Below are 27,060 nucleotides of genomic sequence, written 5' to 3'. Positions count from 1 at the left end.
TATCAGGAGTTTCTGATTTTGCCCTTGTCCTGTTTCCTCAGAAGCATGTGATCTTTGTTCTCCTTTTTGCCCTTTGAAGCATGTGATCTTGTGACCTACTCCCTGTTCTTGCACCCCCTCCCCTTTTGAAATCCTTAATAAAACTTGCTGGCTTTAAGGCTCAGGTAGGCATCACGGTCCTACCAATATGTGATGTCACCCCCGGTGGCCCAGCTGTAAAATTACTCTCTTTGTACTCTTTCTCTTTATTTCTCAGCCAGCCGACACTTATGGAAAATAGAAAGAACCTATGTTGAAATATTGGGGGCGGGTTCCCCTGATAGTGAAAGAACAGGAAGATAAGAAAGAAATGTTTGTAAAATAATGATGCTTTCTTGAAAGCTAATAAAGTAATTGGTGGAAATGTTGCTCCAAAAATCATTTGCATTACTGACAAAAAGTAGATTCCAGCTGAAGTATGTGGATCATTACCAATGTTAATTTTCAAATATTAAAAAAGTAAAATGTAAACTTGAAAGGGTCAAGAGGTTAGGGGCCTTAAAGGAGTTGTGTATAAAATCCAAAAGAATGTTTTTCTTTAAATTCATTTTAATTTCCAAAAGGTAATGTTACATGTCTATTATAAATGAAAAATAAGTTCCCTAGAACAAATAAATAAAACTTTATGCTAATGCTGCATAAGGAATCCCAGTCTAAAATTAGTTAAGTGGCTGGGAGTGGTGGCTCACACCTGTAATCCCAGCATTTTGAGAGGCTGAGGCGGGTGGATTACCTGAGGTCAGGAGCCTGAGACCAGCCTGAACAACATGGTGAAAATTCAAAGTTAGCTGAGTGTGGTGGCCCACACCTGTAATCCCAGCTACTTGGGAGGCGGAGGCAGAAGAATCGCTTGAACTTGAGAGGCAGAGGTCGCAGTGAGCCGATATGCCACTGCACTCCTGCCTGGGTAACAAGCATGAAACTCCGTCTCAACAAATAAAAAAAAATAAAATGTAAAATTAGATAGCAAGGCTCTGTTGGAATCTAGTTCTGACAGACAGAGTGAAGTGAGTTTAGTAAGAATAAAAAAGTTTATTTCTGTTACTATTTCAGCTACTCCACACAGTTTTAAATAGAAAAGGGAGTTGTGTGGTATTTGTCTAAATTTTATAAATATTACCCCAATCTTTATAAACTTTTAAAAACAGAGGTGATTATTAAATTACACCCGGTTTTAGACTATTTCGTTTAATTAACTATGATGTAAAGAAGCCTCTGCCCTTTCCCTGAACCCCAATGCACTGTTTTGCATGGGAAAATACTATAGTCTTGTTACATATCCTAACTAGCTAACTATGTGAGATTTTTACAAGAATGGATTGATAGTGATGCACAGTGAGATAAATGAGTGAGAGTTAAGATTCCTGTGTTTTAGTTCCCACTGTCAATGGCAAGCAAATTAACTTAGGTTATTTTCATACTTACAAAACAGAAGTTAATCACATCTTTCCAAACTACCTCCCAGAAATAATCCTCCTAGAGGATATTATTTAAAGGATAACACAAAGTACACCATGCTATACATATAATAGGTCCTGCCTTTCTTTTTTCACTATTCCAATTTTAGGTTATGAATTCCTCATTCTCAGAATGATGAGTATCTTGGAACAGAACCTCCACAGATTCGTGTGGTAGCAATACCATAATTTTAATTTTTAAGGTACTATGAAAATGATGGCATATGATTACAGTCTTCTATGAAAATGCTGTTTGTTTTATTTATTAAAACACAAATGTGGAAGTAAAAAAGTAAAACTTGACTTAGTCTTTTAATCAGGAAAATGTTTTTCCTTTTGCATGTCCTTCAGGTATACCTAGGTTGGGGTTGGCATATGGTGAATCCCAAGCTTAAAAAATTGTATTGTATATATAAACAGGATGGGGCATAAAGTAACTGGTCAAGCAGTTATCAGAGTTAAGTTAAACAGCCCTTCCTAGATTATAGTAAAAAACACCTGTTAATTAGTGAATTACTCCTGTAGACTCAACATGCTGACTAGCAGAACAACTTATCATGGCTGGCAAGTCTCACTATTTGCTATCACTGCAATTTGATCTGTTATATAATTAACATGTAGCTAGAACTGCACGTCTTTGATCTGTATATGAGATTGTATGTTACCATCATAATTACCATGACAGTCTTGTGGTCACTGAAAATATTTTTGTTAACAATGCATGTGTGTGGTGCAAGCGAATCCTTGACAACCAGGCCCTGAACGATTAAGTAATTAATGTGAGCTCTTCCCATCCTCCTAAGAAAAAATTAGAAGTATAATGTGTACTATGGTCTGACAGATATTTCACAGCAGAGAGGTACCACCAGTCAGGATAAAAATCCTGTGGAGGATGAAGAAAGGAGAAAATACTTTCTGAGAAAGAAAATAAAAAGACACAGGCCATTTAATAAACTGTACAGAAAAAATTTTTGCTGCTTTAGAAAAAGATGCTGGGATCTTCTCTGTGGGTTGTGTGCTAGAGTCTTTTCCCATTGTATCATTGTCATTGCAATAAAGTTTCTCTAGGAAATAAAAGGATCCTACTCTTCAAGGAAGCATTTAAAAGAAAATTTTTAAGACCTACTTCCCACAATTCCTCTGGTCTCTGACTTGCTATATACCTCCAATTTATAAGAAAATATTTTCACTTTACAATGGGAACATCAGAGTACCTGTGTATATCTTCCAACACAGTACCGGGCATCAATGGGAGGGAAATTAATAATTAATGGTTGGTGAGTTTAGGGTAGGAAGCAGTCAGTGGAACCCCTAGAGATAGAGAAAGATGGAGAGCACACTGTGGTGGAGGAAATTAGAAAAGTCTATAATAAAATTCCATCTGTTCTCCTTTTAGTTTCTCTTGTCATATCACATACATGGCAATAAATCATATGCGATTTATTTTTTCTGGCTCCCTTTCACACTCTTACTATCACTTTTTCTTACTATTCTTCCAAATTCTACAATGATAATCCTATTCCAAGGGTAGTTGTTTTTAGGAAATATTGGCATGGCATCTTAACTTCTTGGGAGGAATGTTGTTTTAGGTTAGTAAGCAAGTGCCAAAGAGAAAAGATAATAAGGAGGTCTAAGGGGTCAAGGAAGGATAGACACTGTTCAAATTGATTTTGAGAGAATTGATAAAAATAGACATATTCACATATATTTTATATTATGAATATATATTAAATGTTCTACGCCATAAGGTATGCATATTAACTTATGCCCTAAATTGTAAATTTTAATATATTATAATAGATGTTAAAATGATATTTGCTGCTTTTGCAGTCAAATGACACTTTTTTTGTTTTTAATTCTTCAGTGGCAGCTTCATCAGTTACTGCATAGATGAGATCATGACTTTTATATCTTTGAATGGCCAGTCTGTACTCTTAATAAGATCCCTTTTTTCTGAGCAAAAATGGTTCAGGAAAAAAAAAAGGTCTAGTAGGTTTACTTTTACATCAAATTTTGGTTTCCTTTCACATGTAGATTTGACTTAATATCTACTTCTAGTGTGTCAGTAGCAAAAGGAATAAAAAATTATTTAGGATGCCACCACATTTATGGAAAAAATATCAGAGGAAAATATATTCCAGTGCTAAATCATCTTGTGTCTTTGTCAAACATGTATACATAAAATAAAATGTAAAAATTATTCACAGAAATTGACATTCCATGGGCAAAACACAGTTACTCATTTTGTGGTTTATTTTTTTTCCCCAAACAAATGCAGTGGCAGATACAGGGGCAGTATGTCACTGTGCCCTTGTACTTTATGACGTTATCTCCCCTGAACTTTAGTATTTTATTTTATTACTATAAAGTCAGTTCATGATGGCAGTTGTCTATTTTCTAAAATGTAGGAGCTTCATATTCTGTTTTTGTTTTACCTATTGTTATTAAGATGTTAACTTCATTTTTTTTAAATTTAGGAAACATGCACTGTCTACTATACCACTAGCCACTAACAATGAAATATAGCCATACACAAGTTAACTAAGGTATAAACATGCAAAAGGAGAAGTCTCCCTGAGATCATAAAATGATGTTATTTTCTGTTCAGCAGTTCATGTTACTGCTGTTCATGCTAATTAATTAAAGGAGCTGTTGCAGTAATGTGCAAACAGGGAATCTGAGAAACTGAGAGGGTTTTTAGGTCTCCAAGTGAAGTTAAGTCAATCTGGGCGCAGGCAATCAAATGTAATGAAATCACTTGTCAGTGCTAAGCTTGCAAAAACTGTGAAGTTTGACTGGGGAGTAAAAGGATTATAATTAGATTTCCAATAGGATAATAACTAAATGGCAGAATGCAGTAAAAAGAAATATTACTTTGTTAGCTAATGGTACTGCTGTTCAGTTTTAGTTTTTATCAGCACACTTGTAGTTGTGCTAATTTAATTTGCTTTTATCAGCAAAAATGCACTATGCAAATGGCACTTGAATGTCATTTGCAAAAATATCATTGATCTGAAGGTGCACTTAATGACACTCGGTATGTTTATTTTATGTGAAACAGGGATTGGTTGATAAGATGGTTGATGTGCTATCTTGCAGGCCCTCAACTGAGTTATAGGAATTTGGATGGAATGACATTAGCACAAGTGCTCCACCAAATCCTTCATCTCTAGAGATAGTGGACATAACCATTGGAGTAGTATATACACATTGCGTGATCACCAGAAAACATTCTGTAGGAGTTGCTATGGTAGACTCCGAAAATATAAAGATACAGATATCCTTTTATGGAAACTTGGTCTATGCATATTATCGTCTCTGTCAAACAACATTCAAAGCATAAAAGACATGAAATAACCAAGCTGAAGAGATGTATTATATACATATAATGTATTACATGTAATACATTATATAGGATACATTATGTATATATACTATATATAGTAAATATATATAAAATCTTATATATATAAGATTTCTGGTACATGTGCAGTTTGTCTGCACTAAAACCCATGTGGAAATTACCATAAAACTGGATATTACTTTTTTGCTTCCAGGAGTGGCCATGTAATGTTTTTCCAAGTGCCTTTTAAATTCTTAAGATGTCACAGTGGAATCAACTGAATCTCAAAGGGAGAGTACTAGGTGAATGATAGATTTCTATCTAGGAGAGCTATTGAACAACAGGAAGAGAAAGAACTTTACTGATGCTGGAATTATTTCCTGTGATGGAGATGAATTTTGGAAATGGTATTGCATTGGTATACATGAACTGACTCTCACAAACAATGATAGGAAATGATCTTCCAAGTTAAAAAACAGGTTTCAAGGGAGATGGAAAAGATTAAAACAGTATCAAAATGTCACAAAAAAGAACTATAACTTACAAAATCAAAATTATTAGGAAGAATAGAAAAATAATGGCTAAGCTTGCATTTCATGTTTTCCAACATTATACATTTTCTGAGTTTCACAGATACATTCAAAAGTAATGTTTTTATTACTTTTTATTATTTTACAAATAATAGGCAAAATGATTGGGATTTTTAGATAATTATTTGACCTGACTGATTTGGTAAACTCTATTTAAGATTAGTTCTGATAATATTTGTAGGCACCTATTTTCCTGGCTAAAAGAATAAAACATTATTGCTAAATTTTTTTGATTAAATTGTGATTCTACTGTCATATTAACATAAGACATTAACTATAGTTTTTCATAAGGAGATGATAGGGGCTTTATCATTTACAGTGCTTAAATGTCGTGCAAAGAGAAGCGATAATGTGTATTTTTCCATTTTTATCACATTTATGTGGAACCTTATTTAATGTAATATAAAAGACAGACATCCAATAAAGAATTATTAACCTACCATATTTTACCATATATAGACAATGTTAAAGACAAATACTAGACAGTGTCATTTTTAATTTGGAAAAAAATACAAACCAATTTCTTTGCTTTAAAATAAATTACATCTCATTCCTTTTAAGATGAATCTAACTATCTCATATTTAGCAAGTAAAAACTTGTAGAACTTATTAAAAGTATGCACAATGAAAACAAGTATTAAATGTGTCCTTTCCTAAGTGCAAGTAAATATGCAAAATCCATTCTTGGTAGACTTCATAAAAGAATTTGGAAACGAAGAGTGGATCTACCTTTTGCTTATATCTCCTAATTGCCCACGAATAAAATATCACTACTTGTTACATGGAAATGAAATAATTTTAGGACAGTTCAAAAGCTTGTATTTCTCTCAGAGTTAAGAAAGATGTTACTACTATGAACTAAAGGTATCATATAAATTAAACAAAGAGCAATAAATCAGAGGTGCAGGTTAAAAGATAATAAAGATAAAACTCACTAGTGGTGTATTCGGATTACCCTCTCCAGTTCCAAAGCTGACCTTAAACCCACTCAAAGCAGGGCACAATCAAGTTCAATGTTCCTTAAAGACTATGTCTATATTTGCATGTCACTGATTCAGAAGGGATCAAATGCTTCAGGCTATTCATCTCTACCATGGAGCTGGTATATGATGGTAACCTCAAATACCAGGCCCACAACTAGTGGGGCACTTCTTAGTGAATTTTGCTGTGATGAATTGGTTGGACAAACACTGAATCCCATTTGAATTGGTTTTGCTCATATAGACACAGCCTTTAAGCTGAGGGAATAAAGTAGGCAAGCAAAAAAGGGATAAGAACCAGCAAAAGCTTCATCGAATGAGTTAAGCATGCATGCTTTTACACCTAACATAGTGCATTAGTTAGGTCTACCCACCTGCAACAGAATCATGCATCACTAGAGTATCCATGAGAGCTAACATTTCTGGTTTTATAAAGATGACTTGTAAAACTACATGTAAAACAACTTATGAAGCTACCACATAAAATGGTGACTCTTAGATGAACCCAAATGGATATTTTGGTCACATCCAGTTCTGTTGCCTTTATGAAGATCCACTCATCACATAGGAGAAAGGCACTGATTAATTCCAGCGAGCAACATATTCATAGTTGTCTTCTTTTTTCAAAGTTAGGAAATAGTTTTCTCATAAAAATGTTCTTTATTTTTTATTAGAGTTAGGCATTTTATCACAATAAATGTGAAAATAAATGTAATCTGCATGCAAAGGTCTAGAAGTGCATTGGAATCACACTGGAAAATTTTCAGTGGTCACATTTAACTCATTTTTATGTGCTTTTGCACTCCAGTGAGACTCTATATTGATTTGTTTCATCTGTTTTCTTACTACTAAATATTTTCAAATATTTTTAAAGATGTAAGCAATTGTGATAATCATGTAAATCACGAATTATAAGTCATGTTCTGATTTTCATACTTAAGTGGTCTCTAAGATTAACATCAAAATTTAAAGGATGAAAAAAATGTTGTCTTGAATACCTTCAAAATTTTGATAGGTTACAATGATTGTACCTGTGGCTTTTACAAACAGCAAAGTGGTGAAATTACAAAAATACCTCATGGTATTGTACACTTTTAAAAGATAAATTACATTCACATTTATGCATTTTTAGAATATGCCTGACATACAAATGTGTATTCTTTTTACAGCTACATGTATTTGCTCACATTGTATATGTAAAATTATTAGTCCCTCTGTAACCAGAGTTATTGGGTTTTCAAAGCCATGTTAAGTATTTTTTTCTCAAAAAACTGCAAATTGCTTCCTGTGTCATAAAGTAAGAAGTGTCAAAACTTATTTATTTTATTTATATGAAGAGTATCATCACAGAAGCTCATCCCCACCTCATCCCCACCTCATCCCCAGGGGTCACATATTAAGCAGTCAAAGAAAGAAGTTTTCAGTTGACTGTACCTTGCATAGCAGCACTATCATGAGGAGTCCCATTGTTTTCTATTTCAATATCTGGAATTCCAGTATCTGAAATAAATGACATGCAAGATTAATATACAATTAGGTGGTTCCTGATTCCATTTAAAGGGAAAACTCCAGTAAGCCAGTACTTTGGTCCTATAGATAACATAAGACCTTGGGTGGCATTTTTGTTTTTTGTATGTCTGTTTGTTTTTAATGGTAGGAGGGATGATTATAAACTGCAGCTGAATTTTACAATTGAGCATATATTTCTAGGTATATTGTAAATACCTCTATTTTTTTTATTCTTTAAAAATAAATCTTAGGAAAATAGTCTGTCCATTAAAACCTCCTAAGACTATCAGGTTAACTTGCCCCCATCCTCATGGTATATGTTCCCTTTGTAAGATGTGATTGATAATATTTATGATATATATATAATCATATATATACACATATTTATATATATGTGTATATATATAAATATGTGTATATACATATATGTGTGTGTATATATATATATAGTAAGTGCAACTGAATACCAAAATACTCATTATGGTTTGTGGTCTTCATGTAGTACTGGCTCTAGGGACAAATGTTTTATGATTGTGCTGTTCAGGTAAAAGCTAGTAATTTTGATGTAAAAAGGTTCTGTTTGTGTGTGTACATATTTACTTGAACATTTACTTGAAATTGGGTCTGAGTGAGATGAAACAATGTTATGAGGCCTCAGAATTAAAAATGGAAGCAGAAAAGTTTGGAATTAAGATCTTTCATAATTCAAGCATCTCCATTTACAGGATCTGCAGGGATTTACTTAGAACATGTTTTTTCAACCTGGTACTCCTTAGGCATGGCAACACTGATGCAATCTGCATTAAAGGAACAAGCATTGTATAGCTAATCACAATACAGTTCACCAAACATCAGCATATTCTAACAGGAATGGACCTAACCCACCTACATTTTAGGTGCAGGGTGGTTATCAGTGTTATTGCTTCTACTGCAAAAGTCAGTAGGACTTCCTATTATTCCAAGGCTATTTGTTTCTCCTGAACAGTGATTATTTTGACTGGATTTAATTCATGATCTAAAACACTTGGCCTCAAATTGATTTTTTAATCATTCCTGGACAAAATATGTCTGTGTTTCCCTCTCTCCCTTCCTTTCTTTCTGCCTTCCTCTCTTTTTATTCCTTCTTCTATTTTTCTTCAATCAGTTTTGCTTTGTTTACCTTGAGTGTGAAAATCCAAATCAGACATTACCTTTTAACATCCTCAGGCCACTGTCACTAGTGGTGGCTTGCTTAAGTGCCTGCTCCACTTGCTCCCGGCGCTTTGATTCAAATTCCAAGGCTTCCTGCAATTTTCTCTTGGTTTTTTTCTCCTTCTTCAGGCGCTTTTGCATAGTAGCTGAAATGTAAAAGGTAGTTTGCAAAGACTTGAGCAATGAAATAGGGATGCCAGTTTTGATGAATTATAAGCCACAGATATAAGTATAGATAAAGAGAGATATAGAAATATTTCACTTGACATATGATTAGCGTTCTTTTGGTACTAATGCTCATTAGGGTCATCTAAGGAGTGCTTTATTTACTGTATTTCAGTCATACAACTGACTTCTTTCTATTTTCACATTTCCAGAGTGTATGTTCTGTAATACACATGCATTTGTATGATGGTGGTAGTGGTGGTGGAGAATTGTCTTCTACTTTGACTCTCTATATGCATTTAATGATTCTTTAAACATTTTGTAATCCTCTTAAGAAAAATATTCTTATTATTCATCAGGTTACTGATTACTATTCATATTTCAAAACGCAAAAATAATCCTGAAAATATCTATTAGGTTGCAAAATATAGTCTTTAAAACTGAAAATGGCAAGTGTCCATTTATCTGAAATGTTACCAGTTCTAAAGGGAAATATCTGTCTGTTTAATGTACATATCATCAGTCTCTCTCTCTCTCTGCCTCTCTCTTGCTCTTTCTCTGTATGTGCATATACAGTCATAGGCTGCATAATGAGATTTCCGTCAATGATGGACCGCATATACAATGGTGGTTCCATAAGATTATAATGGAGCGCGAAATTCCTATCACCTAGTGACACTGTAGTCATCCTAATGTCCTAGTGCAATGCATTACTAGTGGGTATGTGGTGATGCTGGTGCAAATAAATCTACTGTGCTGCCAGTCATAAAAATAAACTTTCAAGTAAGAAAAACACTTTTATCTCTATTTTATAGATGAAGAACCTGAGTCCTTGACAGGTCAAGAAATTTACCCAAGATAACATAGCTACTAGTTTTCAAAGCCTGAACAAAGCCTGAAGACCAAAGATCACATAGGTAGTTGTTTCAAAGCCGAAGGACCATATAGTTGGCCAGGGGACCAAGGTAAGTGACCTCCAAGGTTTCATGTAGCTATGTTATCATTATTATTATTATTATTACTATTATTATTATTACCATTATTATTATTATTATTTGAGATGGAGTCTTGCTCTGTCGCCCAGGCTGGAGTGCAGTGGCACAATTTCGGCTTACTGCAACCTCCGCCTCCCGGGTTCACGCCATTCTCCTGCCTCAGCCTCCCGAGTAGTTGCGACTACAGGCGCCCACCACCACGCCCAGCTAATTTTTTTTTTTTTTTTGTATTTTTAGTAGAGATGGGGTTTCTCCGTGTTAGCCAGGATGGTCTCAATCTCCTGACCTCGTGATCCTCCCGCCTCAGCCTCCAAGATATCTTGGAGAATATTTCCATTAGTATTGAAAATACCCCCAACATAATATTCACTCTGTAATTGAACTTGTAAAACTTACTTCTGCTTTGAAGCTCAACTGCAAGTTGTCTTTCAAGGTTTTCTCTAATTTCTCTCTCTCTATAGAGCTCCAGTCGCAGCTCCTTCTTTTCTTGTTGAATCTGCTTCTCCTGGATGCGAGCATTATCCAAAGCAACTTTCAGCAGACCCTGTCAAGGTACAGGAAATGACATGCAGTTCATCTTATCTGTTTTAATTTATCAAATATAAAATAATATATGTAGGTGCTAATGTCTTGTATTACATTTATTTTGTTTATAGAAATATTGTTGACCTGAATGTTGGTCAACAGAGTCTCCACGGAGGACAGACTATCAGCAAAAATGAATGGTCCAGGGAATCCAGCGGGCAATGCCTGCCCAGGAGTCAGCTGTATCTTGTCCAAGGGTGACTTCATTATTGGAATTTGAACTGGTACCTCTTCTGCAAAAACAAAATTAGTATCAGAAGGTTCACAGATTAAGAGCTCAAAAGTCTCACTAAGCCACCTCTACTAAGCATCTATAAAGATTTTGTTTCTAAAACTAAATGACTGACATTCTCATAATTAGAAGTCATATTTATTCTCCAGCTGCCTCTAATTTCAAAAAATAAATATTTCAGTAAAGAACTTGTGAAACTGAAACAATGCTTATGGCTAAAGAGGTATGAAATCTGGAGAAAAAACTTAAGATACATACAATTGACAATATGTGCTTATGAATATCTATAAATTAAATATTCAGATCACTTCCTGGAAAAACAAGCAACATTTTATTTTTTCCTCTCTAAATCTATTAATCAATCAATTTATTTATCTTGATTATTTTAACAGCTTTATCAAAAAATAATTTACATACAATAAAATTCACCTATTTTAAGTATACACTTCATTTTTAGTAAATTTCTAGAGTTGTCTAATCATTACCACAAACCTATTTTAGAACATCTTAATTTCCCCTATAAAGACTCCTCATGTCCATTTACAGTTAATCTTCTTTCCCACCTCAGCCCCTAAAAACCATTAATCTGCCTTATCTCCAAAGATTTGCCTTTTCTGAATGTTTCATATAAATAGAATCCTACGATACATGGTTTTTTTGTGCCTGGCTTCTTTCTCTTAGCATGTTTTTTAAGCTTATCCATGTTGTGGCAGGTATCAGTAGTTTATTTTTATTGCTGAATAGTATTTTGTTTCATGAATATACTAGCTTGCGTTTAAACATTTTCTAGTTGATGACTATTTGGATTGTTTCCAGTGTTACTTTTTATTTCATGGAATATCCCTTATCAGAAAATAACACGTATGACATAAAATCACAAGTTACATCTATTCTCTCTTTTATTTTTATGTTGTATTCTTCAATATTCTCATTACTCTATAAAGAGCTATGAGTAGAATTTTTGTTTATAAATATGTTTTATATTTGCTTTAAAACAGATATACCTAATTATAAAGGGAATCCCCTCCTACTTTGAGAACCCTGAATACTTGGTTATTCTGGCTGACAGTCTTTCATATGACCTGTACGAATTAGATAAATTTTCTTCTGTAACTACGTATGTAAAAAGAAACTGCCACAGAGAGGTAATCTCGGGATGTTAACGAAAGAAATTCAGTTACTCTTAGTTGAGTTCATCAGCAGTGCATGATGGGGTGAATCATAGCACCTCAAACAGTTATGCTGCTCACTGGAGTATCTTAATTTCAGCAAGAGAGCACAGGCAAAGTTTAAAAAGTATGCATCTCTCTGGTCAGAAAAAACATTCAGTGACTCCATATATTCTAATGAGACTCACTCAAGAAAAAAGACTTGGCTTAAATCTAGACATAACCAATTTCACATGGTTTGGAAACAAAAAAAGATGTCTATTGGTTCTGGTTCCTATAGGTATGGAATATGGACTTCATTTTCCTATTGCAAGCAGCCTACATATGCAGTGTGCAGAGTCTTGAGCCCCATTAATTTAACAGTTACCTTTTGCTGTGGAATTTCTTGTGTGGCAAGTTGTGCCATTCATTTGTGGGAAACTTCAGTGAGATTATTTAGTACTATCTCTGAATAAAAGGCTCTTACTATATATCACCTTTACATTTTTTATTTTTCCAAACCAATAGCAATTTAAAAAAATGCTATATGATTATATTAGAGTCAACAGTTTCACACTGTTTGAATCCAAATATTAAAAAGAGCATTTGTTTATTGACCTTAAATAATTCAATAAAATGCATGAACTATACCATTAATTTTCTTTAGCACAGAAAGCTATGAGAATAACTTCCTAGGAATTATTTTTTAGTAAAGCTTTGAAAACAATATTTTGTTCACAGATGCAAATGTTTTCTACAACTCACTCGTAGTTTATTTTCATACTCTAGTTACGTAACTCTATTTAAAATTAACGCTAAACTCTTACAAGACATTTGCCTCTCTACTTTTTTTTTTATAAAGTCAGTGGTAGGTTTAGAAGAGGTAAATTATTCCAGAGAGAATCAGCACATTATCACAAATTCTGTGACCTTATTCAGCTACATGGTTTCTTTTGAAGTATTATCTCATAAAAACACTATTAAAACATGTCTTAGGCAGCAGATCTAAGGTTTCTAAGGCACATTTCTCAACAATTAACCACAGTGTTATGCTTCAATTGCATTGTTTGATGTCTACATTTAAGTAGTATTTTTTCTTCTCCACGTGAATGCATTAAGTGGATGGAATGACTTTATAATGATGATATATCAATATTTATAATAGCTGGAAAGGTTCTGTACTTTTATACTGATGTTTATAAATCTTAAAGTATTAATTTATGTAGCCTGGAAAAGCTACTATTATAAAATGAAGTGCTACGAAGTTATAACATTAACTTCTTGCTGATTCAGAGACAATATAATCATTTCCCTGAATAAATATTTTGTGTCAAGGAGAGAGTTCTTAAAATAATGAATTCATTGTTACATATCACCTACACATATGTATAACCTCAGTGGTGAGACTCTGAGGATTGCTTTACAAACAAGATAGCTGAAAAGGAAAGCAATACATTCAGTATGCAGAAAACAAAATTATAACTACATTAAATTTGTTGGAAGTCTTCTATTTGAAGATGAAAAAAATGCCATTAAATTGGCTGAAAGGAAAATTATATTGACGATGAAGACAGGTTGCATGGTCTATGGTTTGTAATGTTGCTGTACAGTAAATTGGAGTTTCAAAATAGTATTACTCTTCTTTAAAGAGATAGACACAGCTGAATTAGGTGTTGCTTGCTGCAGTGAGGATCAAATACAAAAAGAATCATATTTCATCAGACCTAGTCAACACCAGGAGAATAAATAGAAATATAAGAGGTATGCAGGCAATGATTCATTTTGATAATGTGGCTCAAGAGAGACACATAGAGACAGCACACGGATCTAAGCTTCTATCAAAAGACAAATAGGACACAGAGGGTGGGAACTGGGATGACAGTGTAGCAGAGGTCACATCGATTTTCAGCAGCAGTTTTAACATGGATGAGATAACCCTGGACTCTATTTGGCCCATTGTTCATATCCTACCTGTCCCACAAGCAATAAATTTCCTAGTCCTAGAAAAAGGGCCATAAAGAAGAAGGATTCTACTTATGACTTCTTATGATTAAGTTTCTGTGCTAACCAAACATGCTTTTCACACCAAGGTCACATTGCATGTTAAGGTCCATAATAGCCCAAAAGCAGTAGAAGTGTATTATGTTTTAGTGTATGCAAGAGGAAACTGTCAAACCATACATCAGATTTTTTTTTCCTATTTAACTCGTTTGCTACAAAAATGAATGGTAAATGAACTGGAAATCAATTTCAATCTTGTAATATATTTTTACATCTGAACAGCATCTGAATTTTGCTCAGAATTTAAATAAGTGCACTGTTATGTAGGAGTTTACTAGATAGGGTTGAAAAATCCTAATTGGCAATACAATTTTAAATGGGCAAGTTCTAGAAACATAGGCTATTGGTTAAATAAGAGCATCTCTTATTAAACCCAGGAAAAAGGATTTTGATTTTTTTTATTTAAAAAGCTGGTATTCAAAATGTAAATAGTAAAACCTTTATCAGCACATAGAACATAATAGTATAAACTACAAAGTAAGAATAGGAGAACTGCCATCTAGTCAAGGACATGAGTGATCTCTTCACTTATTAAAGCAAAGTGGAAACCACTTTTATTAAGCCTGTTTGTTAAACCTGCCATACTTTGTAATAGCACTTGGGCATCCACTTAGAGAATAAGCTCCATTTTAACTTATTTCGTAGAGCCCAGATGAATAGATATAAAAGTTGACAAGAACTTTTGTAGGAAAAAAAGATAAATATATAGTGAATACTCAAAATAGAAAAATCACCCAGAAAATTAAGTCCAGGCTGCTAGAGGCTCTCTACATGACTCTAATGCTTATTTTCCCATTTTGCATGGAGTGTGTCTCCTCTGGGCTTTAAGGATTGTGATACAGGAATATAAACAACACAGCTGACTAACTCAGCAGTAGAAAATTGTAGCTACCTACCAGGTCATCAGTTTTATTCGTTATCAAGTAAATTATACTTTATTATTTTATTTGAGATCTTTTCCCTAAATACTATTGTCCCAGGTGACCCATTTTTTTTTTTTTTGGCAATGTCATTATTATTACATTCAGGACAAGTGAGACACCTGCTTCCCTCTAACAAACTGAGGAACAATTACAACAATAAAATGACCAACTGCTGTGTAATGTGACTTGTGTGAATATAAGGAAGTGTACATAGCTTCAATGACTCCTCAAGTATTGCCATCATCAAATGTGGAAAAGCTTGATCCCCAAATTGTTGTATTTCTTTAAGGAGATGAAATAAAAATAATACAGATAAATGAAAACAGAAAGCTAGTAGCAAAGGAATGAAGACGTACCAGCCTGAGAAAGTGACACAGATACTCTAAAACCAATTATGCTCATTTGCTGTGGATCCTTAGATTAGCAATTTCACATAACAGGCTCCTTTATAAATCATGTATTGGAATTCAGTCATCTTTCAGACAAAATGTTATTCCAATAACAAATATTATGTCCAGTAAAAGGTTTGGAAGAAGTATGACACCCAGTTCTTGTCATTAAGGAGCGGATACATTATTTAGGAAAACAGTGGACACTTAAGCTTGAATCATGTTCATGTGGCATAGATTGTTATTTGCCTCTAGGAGTTCAAAGAAGAGATCACTGTACTTTGGAATGAACCCTTAATAATCTGTTCACTCTCTAGCTGAAAGGCATTCCCACTGTCCTTAGACTAAAGCCCCACAGAACTTCCACGTGATATTAGGTGTTCTAACAAGAAAAGCTTCGTTGCTCAAATTAGTGTTGAGAAAACAGGCCTAAACAATATTTAACAATTTTCCTTAAAGCTAGGATTGCTAGATACATTACAGGGTGCTCTGTGGAATTTGAATTTCAGATAAACAGCAAATCATTGTTTAATATAATTATGTCCAAAATATTCCATAGGACAGATTTAGACTAAAAATTGGTGTCTCATTTATCTGAAACTCATATTTCACAGGGCACAGTTTTCCTTTATTTTTAACTTGCTAAATCTTTTAGAGCAGAACATCTCAGACCCCATTTCACAAATCACCGCTAAAGAGCTTACTCTTGTGACCAAATACCAACTGTGTCCCAAAATCCTGTGGAATTTTTTAAAATAAAAAATATGCGAATAGTAAATATTAACATATGTTATATGTCAAGATAGGAAGCAGAGAGCATAATGAAGAGCAAAATACACTGGAGCCTGATTGCTTGGGTTTGAATCCCTGCTCTATGATTTGTAGAACCCTGGGAAAGTTGCTTAACCTTTCTATGCCTCAGTTTCTTTATCTATAAAGTTAGGATAATAGTAACACCTACCTCTTAGGGCTGTTATAAATATTAATGAACTACTATTAGCAAAATTGATAGAATAATTTCTGATCCAAAGTAAATGCAATATAAATGTTTATTAAATAAATGGTAGTTGAAAATTTACAGAAGTGAAAGAGGAGTATATAGTCATATATTTGACAACCTAAGCATCTATTAACACCTCATGAAACACAATGTTTGGAAATACCCTTCTCTAGGTAAAAACTGGATGAGCCCAGCTTCACCTTAAATTAGCCCACTTTTGCTTTCCAAGTCATTGAAGGCCTGAAGACACAGGTCAGTGGTTTTTAACCAGGAGCAATTTTGTTGCCCAGAGGACATATGGCAATAGCTACAGACATGTTTGATTGTCAAGACTACATACTGCTGACATCTAGTGGTAGAGGCCAGTGATGTTGCAAAACGCCCACAAAGCATAGGAAAGAAAGCCCTTCACCCCCGATCACCACTGGATTCCCAACAAAGAATTATCTGGCCAAATGTCAATACTGGTTGGGAAGCACTGTTCTTTCCTATTTTTCATATAGGAAAATCTCAATGAAAGGACAGTTAACTAGATTTCCCCTTCTACAGGTTGAGGATCCCTTATTGGAAAATCTAAAATCTGAAATGCTTCAAAATTCAAAACTTTTTGAGCTCAGACATTAAGCCACAAGTGGAGTAATCCACACCTGACATAATGTGACAGATCACAGTCAAAATACAATAAAAACTTTGTTTCATGCACAAAGTTATTAAAAACATTTTATAAAACTACCTTCAGGCTAAGTTTATAAGGTGTATATGAAAAGTAAATTAAGTTCATGTTTAGACCTGAGTCCCATCCCCAACATATTTAATTATGTATATGCAAATACTGCAAAATCTGAAAAACCCAAAATTAAAAATGATATGGTTTGGACCTGTGTCACTACACAAATCTCACGTCAAAAATCCTCAGTGTTGGAGATGAGGCCTGGTGTGAGGTGATTGGATCGTGGGAGTGGAGTTCTCAAGACAGTGAGTGAGTGAAGAGATCTGGTTATTTAAAAGTGTATGACACCTCCCCATCTATCTCTTCCTCCTGCTCTGGTCATATAAGACATGCTTGCTTCCCCTTTGCCTTCTACCATGATTGAAAGTTCCCTGAGGCCTCCCCAGAAGCCAAGCAGGTGCCAGCATCACGATTCCTGTACAGCCTGTGAAACTGTGAGCCAATTAAACCTGTTTTCTTTATAAGTTACCCAGTCTCAAGTATTTCTTTATAGCAGTGCAAGAACAGACTAATGCAGAAAATTGGTACCAGAAGTGGGGTATTGCTATAAAGATACCTAAAAACGTGGAAGCAGCTTTGGAACTAGATAACAGGAAGAGATTGGAGGAATATAGAAGGTCAAAGACAGGAAGATGAGGGAAGGTTTGGAACTTTCTAGAGACTTTTTAAATTGTTGTGACTAAAATGCTTATAGTTATATGGACAACGAAGCCCAGACTGAGGAGGTCTCAGATGGAAATGAGAAACTTATTGGAAACTGGAGGAAAGGTCACTTTTGCTATGCTTTAGCAAAGAGCCTTGCTGCATTGTGTGCCTGCTCTAGGGATCTGTGGAACTTTGAACTTGAGAGTGAGGATTTAGGGTATTTGCCAGAAGAAATTTCTAAAAAGCAAAGTGTTCAAGATGTAGCCTGGCTGCTTGTAACAGTGTATGCTTTTATGTGTGAGCAAACAAATGACCTGATACTGGAACTTATGTTTAAAAGGGGAGCAGGGCATAAAAGTTTGGAAAATTTGCAGCCTGGTCATGTGTAGGAAAAAAAAAAAAGCCCATTTTCTGGTGAGGAATTCAAGTGGGCTGAAGAAATTTGCATAAGTAAAGAGGAGCTAAATGTTAATAGCCAAGACAATAGGGAAAATGCCTCAAAGGCATTTCAGGGACCTTCCTGGCAGCCCCTTCCATCACAGGCCTTGAGGCCTAGGAGGGAAAACATGATTTCGTGGGCCAGGCCCAGGGCCACACAGCCCTGTGTAGCCTCAGAACACTGCTCCCTGCATCCCAGGCACTCCACCTTCAGCCATGGCTAAAAGGGACCCAGGACTGATACTTTAGAGGAAAAAGCCATAAGCCTTGGCCGCTTTCATGTGGTGTTAAGCCTACAGGAGCACAGAGTGCAAGAGCTGAGGCTTGGGAGCCTGTGCCTAAATTTTAGAGAATGTGTGGAAAAGCCTGGTTCCCCAGGCAGAAGCCTGTGGCAGGGGTGGAGCCCTCATGGAGAACCTCTACGAGTGCAGAGCAGAAGGGAAATATGGAGTTGGAGCCCCCACACAGAGTCCCCATTGGGGCACTGCCTAGTAGTGGAGCTGTGACAGGGGGCCACCATCCTCCAGAACCCAGACTTATGGATTCACCAACAGCCTGCACTATGAACCTAGAAAAGCCACAGGCAATCAACACTAGCCCTTGAGAGTAACCGTGGAGGTTGAACCCTGCAAAGCACAGGGGCAGATCTGCCCAAGGCCTTGGGAGCCTATTGTACTAGTATGCCCTGGATGTGAGACATGAAGTCAAAGGATACTCTTTTGGAGCTTTAAGATTTAATGACTGCGCTGCTAGGTTTCAGACTTGCATGGGGCCTGTAGCCCATTTCTTCTGGACAATTTCTTTCAGAATGGGAGTATTTACCCAATGCCTATACCCTCATTGTTTTTTGGAAGTAACTAACTTGTTTTTGTTTTACAGGGTCATAGGCAGAAGGGACTAGCCTTGTCTCAGATAAGACTTTGGACTGCAAACTTTTGAGTTAATGATGGAATTAGTTAAGACTTTGGGGTACTGTTGGGAAGGCATGATTGTATTTTGAAATGTGAGAAGGGCATGTGATTTGGGAGGGGTCAGGGCAGAATGATATGGTTTGGATCTGTGTCCTTACCTACATTTCATGTCAAACTGTCATCCCCAGTGTTGGAGATGCAGCCTGGTGGGAGGTGATTGGATCACTGGGGGAAAGTTCTCATGAACGGTCTAGCACCATCTCCTGGTGCGGTTCTCATGATAGTGAGTGAGTCAGTTCTCATGAGATCTGGTTATTTAAACATGTGTGCCAAGACAGGCTTGCTTCTCCTTTGCCTTCTGCCATGATTGAAAGTTTCCTGAGGCCACTTCAGAAGCTGAGCAGATGCCAGTATCATATTTCCTGTACAGCCTGAAGAACCATTATCCAATTAAACCTCTTTGCTTTATAAATTACTCAGTTTCTGGTGTTTTGTTATAGCAATGCAAGAATGGACCAATAATGGAAACATGTCTGGTCTGAAGCATTCCAGATAAGCGATATTCAAACTGTAGAGAATGTAATAAGCTTAATAAGAAAAAAAGTCAAATAAAAATTTAGAACTAACAAAATGCTTTACAAGGTGTGTTTTAGAGTGTTTATGCATTTCACTTGAGATTGCCACCTGTATGATTTGCTCAAATGGTATCTTCTTTGTGAAACCTATACTGGCCATCCCATTTAACACTGCAACCTGCACCCCTATTTCTACCTCATTGAGACAATTTATTTTGTTCTGTAAAATTAAGCACCATTTAATATACAATATAATATAATTATTTATTTTATTAAATATTTTATTCCAGTACAATTGAATCTTTTTGAGGGTAGTGACTTTTTTCTGATTTTTATTTGCTCACTGTTGTCTCCTCAGTATCTAGAATAGCCACCATCATGTGTCTATCTATAACATATGCAATGATATTTGATATGTACACTGGTAACCTTAAAGCCCTGTAAGATTTCGAATCATCAGATTGATTCCACTATTTCTTTTTTATTCAAAAAGACAAGATTGTACATGAATATATAATTTATGTATTTATTTATTTACAAATATGTGGTAGAATGAAGGAAGAAAGGGGATGGAGGTAAAGAGTTTCTGGTCAACTCTTAGTCTCTCCAATAAAATAAATGATTACTATAATCTACAAATATTGTGACAAACTGAAATTTTACAATTTCGAAAAATAGCTTGTATAGTTGTCACAGAATGTCTAGTGTAAATTTATTGAACTTGTCTACATAGCATAGTCCTCTGAGCAAAAAAATTTAAAGCATAAACCTTTCTCTCCCACACACATAGTTTCCCAAAATCTCTGAGATGATCTATTGTTATATCAGAGATAAAGCAGACCTGACTGATTTTTTGGAGTAACTCTATATTTTATAGAGCCTAGAAATACAAAACTGCTGAGGTTCCAGAAACAGACTAGAAGTTGATCTAAAATCTGCAAAGAAAAACAAGAACTTCTGATACAAACAAACAAAAAGCACCAAAGGCATGTACAAGTCCCTTCTCCAGAAAACCAGCCTGGCTACCTCTGTGTAAAAGGCTGCACAAAAAATAACATTTTATGAGTGCCAAGTAACATTATAACAGTTTGCATCATAAATTGGCAAACAAGTGGCAGGATTGGGAATGGGGTAAGGTAGAAAGAAAGCTGCTGTTTTAAAGAGATGTGTTTGGGATAGATGGAGGAGGAGGGCACCCATTTCCATAAATTAGATGACCCTTCCAGGTGATAATGTTTTGTCACTCCGGCTCATTTGTAAAATGGCTTTGTGCCTTCCCTCTGAAATCTGAGTATGCCAGCCATCGTGGTCCCTCAGTGGCAGCTTTCAACCTGACGTGTCAAGTCAGCCATGTTGCCCATATTCCCCAGGATTCTAATATAGGTTTGCTTTTAGTCTTACTGGGGGCTCAGGCATCTGGCTGGCTGAAGAGGCTGCAAAGCGGATTTCTCATTTTGCTTCCCTGCCAGGAGACATCCAGTCTTCTTTTTTTTTTTTTTTTTTTTTTTCAACCAAGAAAGAAACTTCTCTTCTTAATCTGGCACAGATCAGGAAGGGAAATTTACTGTTCTGACCTGGCAATTCAGGTGCCAAATTTAAAAATCACTGCTTTCATATTTGGTTAGTTAACTTATCTGACTGAGTAGAAAGAGTCAATGGAAGGTAGAAGGGAGCAGGTTATTCATCCAGCACTTTAGAGCATAGTTCTCAAACTTTACCATGCATAAGAATGCACTGAAAGTCTTTTAAATACACATTCCTTGCTTCCAGAGTTTCTTACTCAGTAGGTATAGAGTAGAGCCTGGCAATTCGAATTTCTAATAAGTGCCCAATTGATGCTAAAGTTGCTGGTGTGGGAATGACAATTCAAAAAACCACTGGGCTATATAAAGGTTAATTTTTGCTACATTTACAAGATTTTAATATTGCTTCCTATCACAATATATTTTTTAACTAGTTACTTTTCACATTTCAAAAAATCGTTTCAAAAATGATACCTAATTTTAAGGATGTATTGCCAAAGCTTCAAGAAATCGAATAAAATTAAAGACATATATCAACCAGTTGGTTTTCTAGATATAGAGGTTGTGAAAATCAATTTACACTGCAGAAAAACATGCATAATGGGCCAATTTGTAACATAGATTCAGGAAACAAAATAGTAAAAAACATGAGCCTATACAAATAAAAGGAAAATATTTTTCCAAGAATGAATTCTATGGATTATAAATTTACTTGTATCCAAGAAAGTTATAAAGAAGATATTTCAGAGGATTAAGATTAAAAATTAAAGATAATTCAAAATCAGAATGACTCTATCATGGAAAACTTGGGAAAACAGTCTGTATAACACAGAATTCACAGTTTGTCACCTCCTATAAACTCTTTCATGAGGAACATGCCCTTAATTACACAGATTTGACATTTTTATCAATATGCTCACTAATAACTGTGCAATTATACCTGTTTGTAATCTATGCATATTCACATTTTCATGTTACCACAGTACTAATGACAGACAGTTCTGTTTTCATTAGTCATCTCCTTCTCTTGTTCACGCACACCCACGTATGTGCACATACCCACAATCACTGAGAATATGTACTGATATTTCAGTCTTAGCTAAAATATGGAGGCAATGGGCTTGGTACAGTGGCATGAACCCGTAGTTCCAGCTATTCAGGATGCTGAGGTAGAAGGATCACTTGAGCCCAGGAGTTTGAGGCTGCAATGCACTATGATCATGCCTACGAATAGCCACTGCACTCCAGCGTGGGCAATGTAGTGGGACTCCACCTCTTCAAAAAATTTAAAAAAAAAAAATTGATGCACTGAGCCATCACGTGTTTTATACAAAAAATTAAGGGTTTTCCTAATAGATGAGTTTGATACCATAATTTCAATACTGTTATAAACTTAGCTAACTCAAAATGACCCTAATATTTTTATTTTAGAAAGCTGAATTTTATTAAAAATATATATTTAATTAACAAGGCAAAGCACTGCAATTTTCACATTTTTTTTCTTGTCCTGTGTAATATAGACATTAAGATAATAAAAACTGTTGCGCCGGGCACAGTGGCTCATGCCTGTAATCCCAGCACTTTGGGCGGCTGAGGTGGGCAGATCACTTGAGGTCAGGAGTTCAAGACCAGCCTGGCCAACATGGCGAAACCCCATTTCTACTAAAAATACAAAAATTAGCCAGGCACAGTGGCAGGTGCCTGTAATCCCAGCTACTCGGGAGGCTGAGGCAGGAGAATCGCTTGAACCCAGAAGGCGAAGGTTGCAGTGTGCCGATATCACACCACAGCACTCCAGGATGGGAAAGAGAGTGAGACTCCATCTCAAAAAACAAACAAACAAAGAAACAAACAAACAAAAAAAGCTGTTGCTTCTCACCTGAAAATTTCTTAAGTTTTATCAAAGAAGTTTGTATCTATTAGTAATGCTTAATTTAACAACCTTTACCAAAAGCACAATCCTAGTTTTAGATGCTGTCTATTGCTATGAAAATTCATACCATCTTATGGACACTCTTTTTCTGATAAAAATAATAATAAAATAATTCATAATATATATCCAAAGAGGCAAGGATGTGTAAATGCCAGCACTAGAACACATGAATGTGCCATTTTGTTTTATGTTTTAATGCTGCCTCTTCCCCATCTTCATTTCTAGTTTGTGGGGACTGATTCAACTTTACTTTCTTCTATTTCAATATTCTCACCTTACTTAATGACTTTTATCAGAAACACTTTTGAGTTCCTAGTTGTGCATTGTATTGTGGCATAAATCAAAGTGCTATAAATTGAAGAGTGTGGTGGTGATTTTCTCTAATAACTATTAGACAAAGAGGAATATTTTCAAAAAACTTTTCAATTAATTAGAAATCTTTAAAAAATGTATCATGCAGTTGAACGTAAATGATTATACAAAGGTTAATCATCTGATACGTCCCTTTCTGATTTTAACTTATTTCCTATGAGTCTGCCTTCTTCTTATAGCACAATAAACATTACTGAATGTCTCTCTGTGTTGGGATGTTACACAGTGACCCTATTTGTAGAATATAAAGATCTACCTCAGAGTGTTTGTGGGAAGTTTAAAGGAAAAAACTCAAATGCAAAACACTTAGCATGGTACTGAGCATATAGTTGGCCCTCAAAAAGATGAGCTACATCTGAAGCTATGCTAGCCTTGTAGATCTGGAATGTTCAAGAAAAAGAAGTGCACTGAATATACATTGATTCCAGGATTTACCCAATAAATTCTTTAAAAAAATTTACTCTGGTAAACTGAGTGAAGAATTTACTTAATGTTTCAAGAATTAATAAAGGTATTATAGCATTGTATTTTGTCTTCCTAATAACCAGACAAAAGAATAAACTTGTAATTCTGTAAGTGAACTCTCTCAGATTAGCTCTAAAGTAGTTTGAGCCTGAAGTCTTCAAGCTACCTGAGTAGTCTGAATCGACGACCCATCCTGCTTCAGCTCTCCCTCCATGGGCAGCACCCACTGTCCAACCAGTCCGAATGAGATGAGCCAGGTACCTCAGTTGGAAATGCAGAAATCACCTGCCTTCTGCATTGATCTCCCTTGGAGCTGCAGACACGAGCTGTTCCTATTCGGCCATCTTGCCAGCCACCAAGTCGCATTTTCCCCTCAAATTTAATTTAAGTTGTATATTTATTCCCATGCAGACTTGCAAGTTTAAGATAAGTGTACTTTCTACTAAGAATATAGGAAAAGGGGGACAGTTTGGGGTCTGGCTGTTGGGAAGGGGTGGCCACAAGACAGGCTGGGAAGATGCCAGTGGCAATGATGAAGGAAAGTGCCTTCAGTTTCAAAAAGTTGTTGGATCAGTGCGAGAACCAAGAGTTCCAGGGTCTTGGAGGAACTGCTGCACCCCCAGTGAATGGTCAGCTTCTAGCTTTTTATTTGCTCCATAACGACATGAATAATCCAAGATATCTTTGGGAAAGAATACCACCTGCTATAAAATCTGCAAATTCTGAACTTGGGAGAATTTGCTCAGTAGGAAAAAAATTCTGACATAGAGATTTCTTTGGGATGTATACAACCCTCCGTGCTTACCAGTAGCCTAAGATGTTCCAGTCAATTATGGAAGCACTTAGAGATACAACAAGGAGATGAGCCTTTGCCCTGCCCTCTCAAGTGTATATCTCAATAATCGTTGATGATTTTGAAGCCTTTTTTGGATGTCCTGTAGAAGAGGCTGTGAAAGGTATATTAAAACAAGAATGGCAAGCTGACCCAACCATAAGAACGGTTATGCCCAGAAAGCCAATTGCAAGGGCCCTGGATGTTTCTTTTAACAAGTTTATTCCCTTGCCAGAGCCAATTCCAGTTCACCCATCCCCAGTGAATAGCAGTTATCCAGACTGACGGGTTATGTGGCTTTCCTTGATAACTGATTTATCATCCTGAGTTTAAGATCCACCTTCAGAATCCTGTATATTGACAAATATAGAAATGTAAAGTTTTTATTTTCAATTTGTTGCATAGATGAAGCACTTCAGCATTTCTTACTATGTGATAAAATATACATATAAAGTACAATGTTTTATGTACATTTTGTTCTTAAACATTATGCTGAGTAGTTGTTAAAACAGTTCTCACTTTGTAATATTTAACAGTCTGGATGGAGCCTCTCATTACTACAGCAGTTAGTTTGTTTTTTAGTGACTTGTGAAATAAGATTTCCTGTTTCTTGTAGAATAGTGGTTGTCAACTGTGTTTTGTCTGTGCAGATGCCCCAGCACATACCACACTCTCATCTGTACCATTGCTGGATAGTGGTAATGATTCATTTGGAGTTTGAGGGCAATATCTGTATTGCTAGGGATTATGATTCACCCTCTTTGGAGACTATGCTCTCTTTTCTCCCCAACTTCTGAGATCCACTAATGTAAAATGCAGAAATATGTCTGAGGAACAAATAAACCATTTTTATACTAAACCAGTTTGTTAACTTTAGATGTTTTCCAATACTATGAGTACATCTATTGCTGGCAGTGGAGGGCTTGCCATGAAAATGTGACTTATTTAAGACGTTCATGAGAAGTATTAAGTTGTATTATTTCCTTTTATAAGATGGGAAAAGTTAAGTGTGGAACGCATTATATGGAGAAAGAAGCAATTAAGACATGTGATACACTTTGTACAACTATCCAATGGCCTACTGATTGCTTGTATTTATCCTTTGGGTCAAGTTCTGCCCTTTGCAGAAATACTAAACAAGTCTTTCATTCTCTGTGTGACACCCTTCTGAATATTTGAAGTTGCTGTTTTATATCTACAGGTTAAAACAGCCCTTAGTTCATTTATTCTGCTTTTGTTCAATAAATATTTATATGAAAAAAAGAAAATATGAAAAATCTATCTTAATTTTTCCTGGCAAATTCGACCTTATTTTATTAATGCTAAAATTCCTTTACTTACTATTGTTACAAATATTTACGGATCCATATGGAATGGCAAATGTTGAAGCGAAGACACTACAGACATGTTTCACTTTTGCTAATAGCCCTAGTACTTGAGAATTTTTTTCTCATTTTTCTATCATAAGTGCTTTAGTTTGAAAGAAGAATCTTAAGTGTTTACTGAATATAAAACTATGTCTATGCTGAGGCTGGGTTTATGCAGACAGTAAGAGTGTGATGCTTTTAGTAACCTGCAAATATAAATATATATTATATATATACTTATGTATGTAAAATAAATATTTATTAAACATCTTTAACATCTGTCAAAGCTTGAAATGTAAAGAGAAACATAGTCAGTTCTCAACTTCCAGTGACATTTTAGTCACTATCATTTTCTCCTCTTATCTTTCCCAATTGGATTCTATCCTTACACACACAGTAGTTGCCCCTTATCTGTGATTTCATTTTCCAAAGATTTCTGTTACTCCTAGTAAATGGCAATCAGACAACAGGGGAGTACAGTACAATAAAATGTTTTGAGAGAAAGAGAGACCACATTCAAATAACGTTTACACAGTATATTGTTATAGTTGTTCTATATTTCCATCAGTTATTGTTGTCAATTTATTACTATGCCTTATTTATAAATTAAACTTTAACACATGTATGTATGTATAGAAAAAAAAAACAATATGTATGGGGTT

The 27,060-nt window shown here is 35.3% G+C and overlaps 1 protein-coding gene and 1 pseudogene across 8 annotated transcripts in view, besides 1 other annotated feature; one reads left to right on the top strand and one right to left on the bottom strand.

Moving 5' to 3' along the window:
* DACH2 (dachshund family transcription factor 2) overlaps positions 1 to 27,060 on the bottom strand; it is a 684,152-nt gene that overhangs the window by 8,660 nt on the left and 648,432 nt on the right. For 5 of the 8 annotated variants that reach the window (NM_053281.3, NM_001139514.1, XM_017029255.2 and 2 more), the window contains 4 exons: positions 10,939 to 11,087; positions 10,666 to 10,813; positions 9,109 to 9,255; positions 7,844 to 7,909 (listed from right to left, as the gene is read on the bottom strand). In NM_053281.3, coding sequence (NP_444511.1) covers positions 7,844 to 7,909; positions 9,109 to 9,255; positions 10,666 to 10,813; positions 10,939 to 11,087 — 510 coding nt within the window. Of the gene's footprint in view, positions 1 to 7,843; positions 7,910 to 9,108; positions 9,256 to 10,665; positions 10,814 to 10,908; positions 11,088 to 27,060 lie in introns of all 8 variants that reach the window. The other 3 variants (XM_011530846.3, XM_017029254.2, XM_011530847.4) reach the window with 1 other exon arrangement.
* Positions 18,212 to 18,737: an enhancer, noted in NCBI's record as "OCT4-NANOG-H3K27ac hESC enhancer chrX:86060209-86060734 (GRCh37/hg19 assembly coordinates)". NCBI's record gives its function as "activates a minimal SCP1, AML or CMV promoter by ChIP-STARR-seq in naive and primed H9 embryonic stem cells {active_cell/tissue: H9 hESC(naive and primed)}" and the evidence as "EXISTENCE:reporter gene assay evidence [ECO:0000049][PMID:30033119]".
* Positions 24,661 to 25,542, top strand: COPS8P1 (COP9 signalosome subunit 8 pseudogene 1; annotated as a pseudogene).

This window comes from Homo sapiens, chromosome X (assembly GCF_000001405.40).
Source record: "Homo sapiens chromosome X, GRCh38.p14 Primary Assembly".
NCBI lineage: Eukaryota > Metazoa > Chordata > Mammalia > Primates > Hominidae > Homo > Homo sapiens.
The sequence above is the reverse complement of the archived record's forward strand: the minus strand, read 5'-3'. Positions and strand labels throughout refer to the sequence as shown.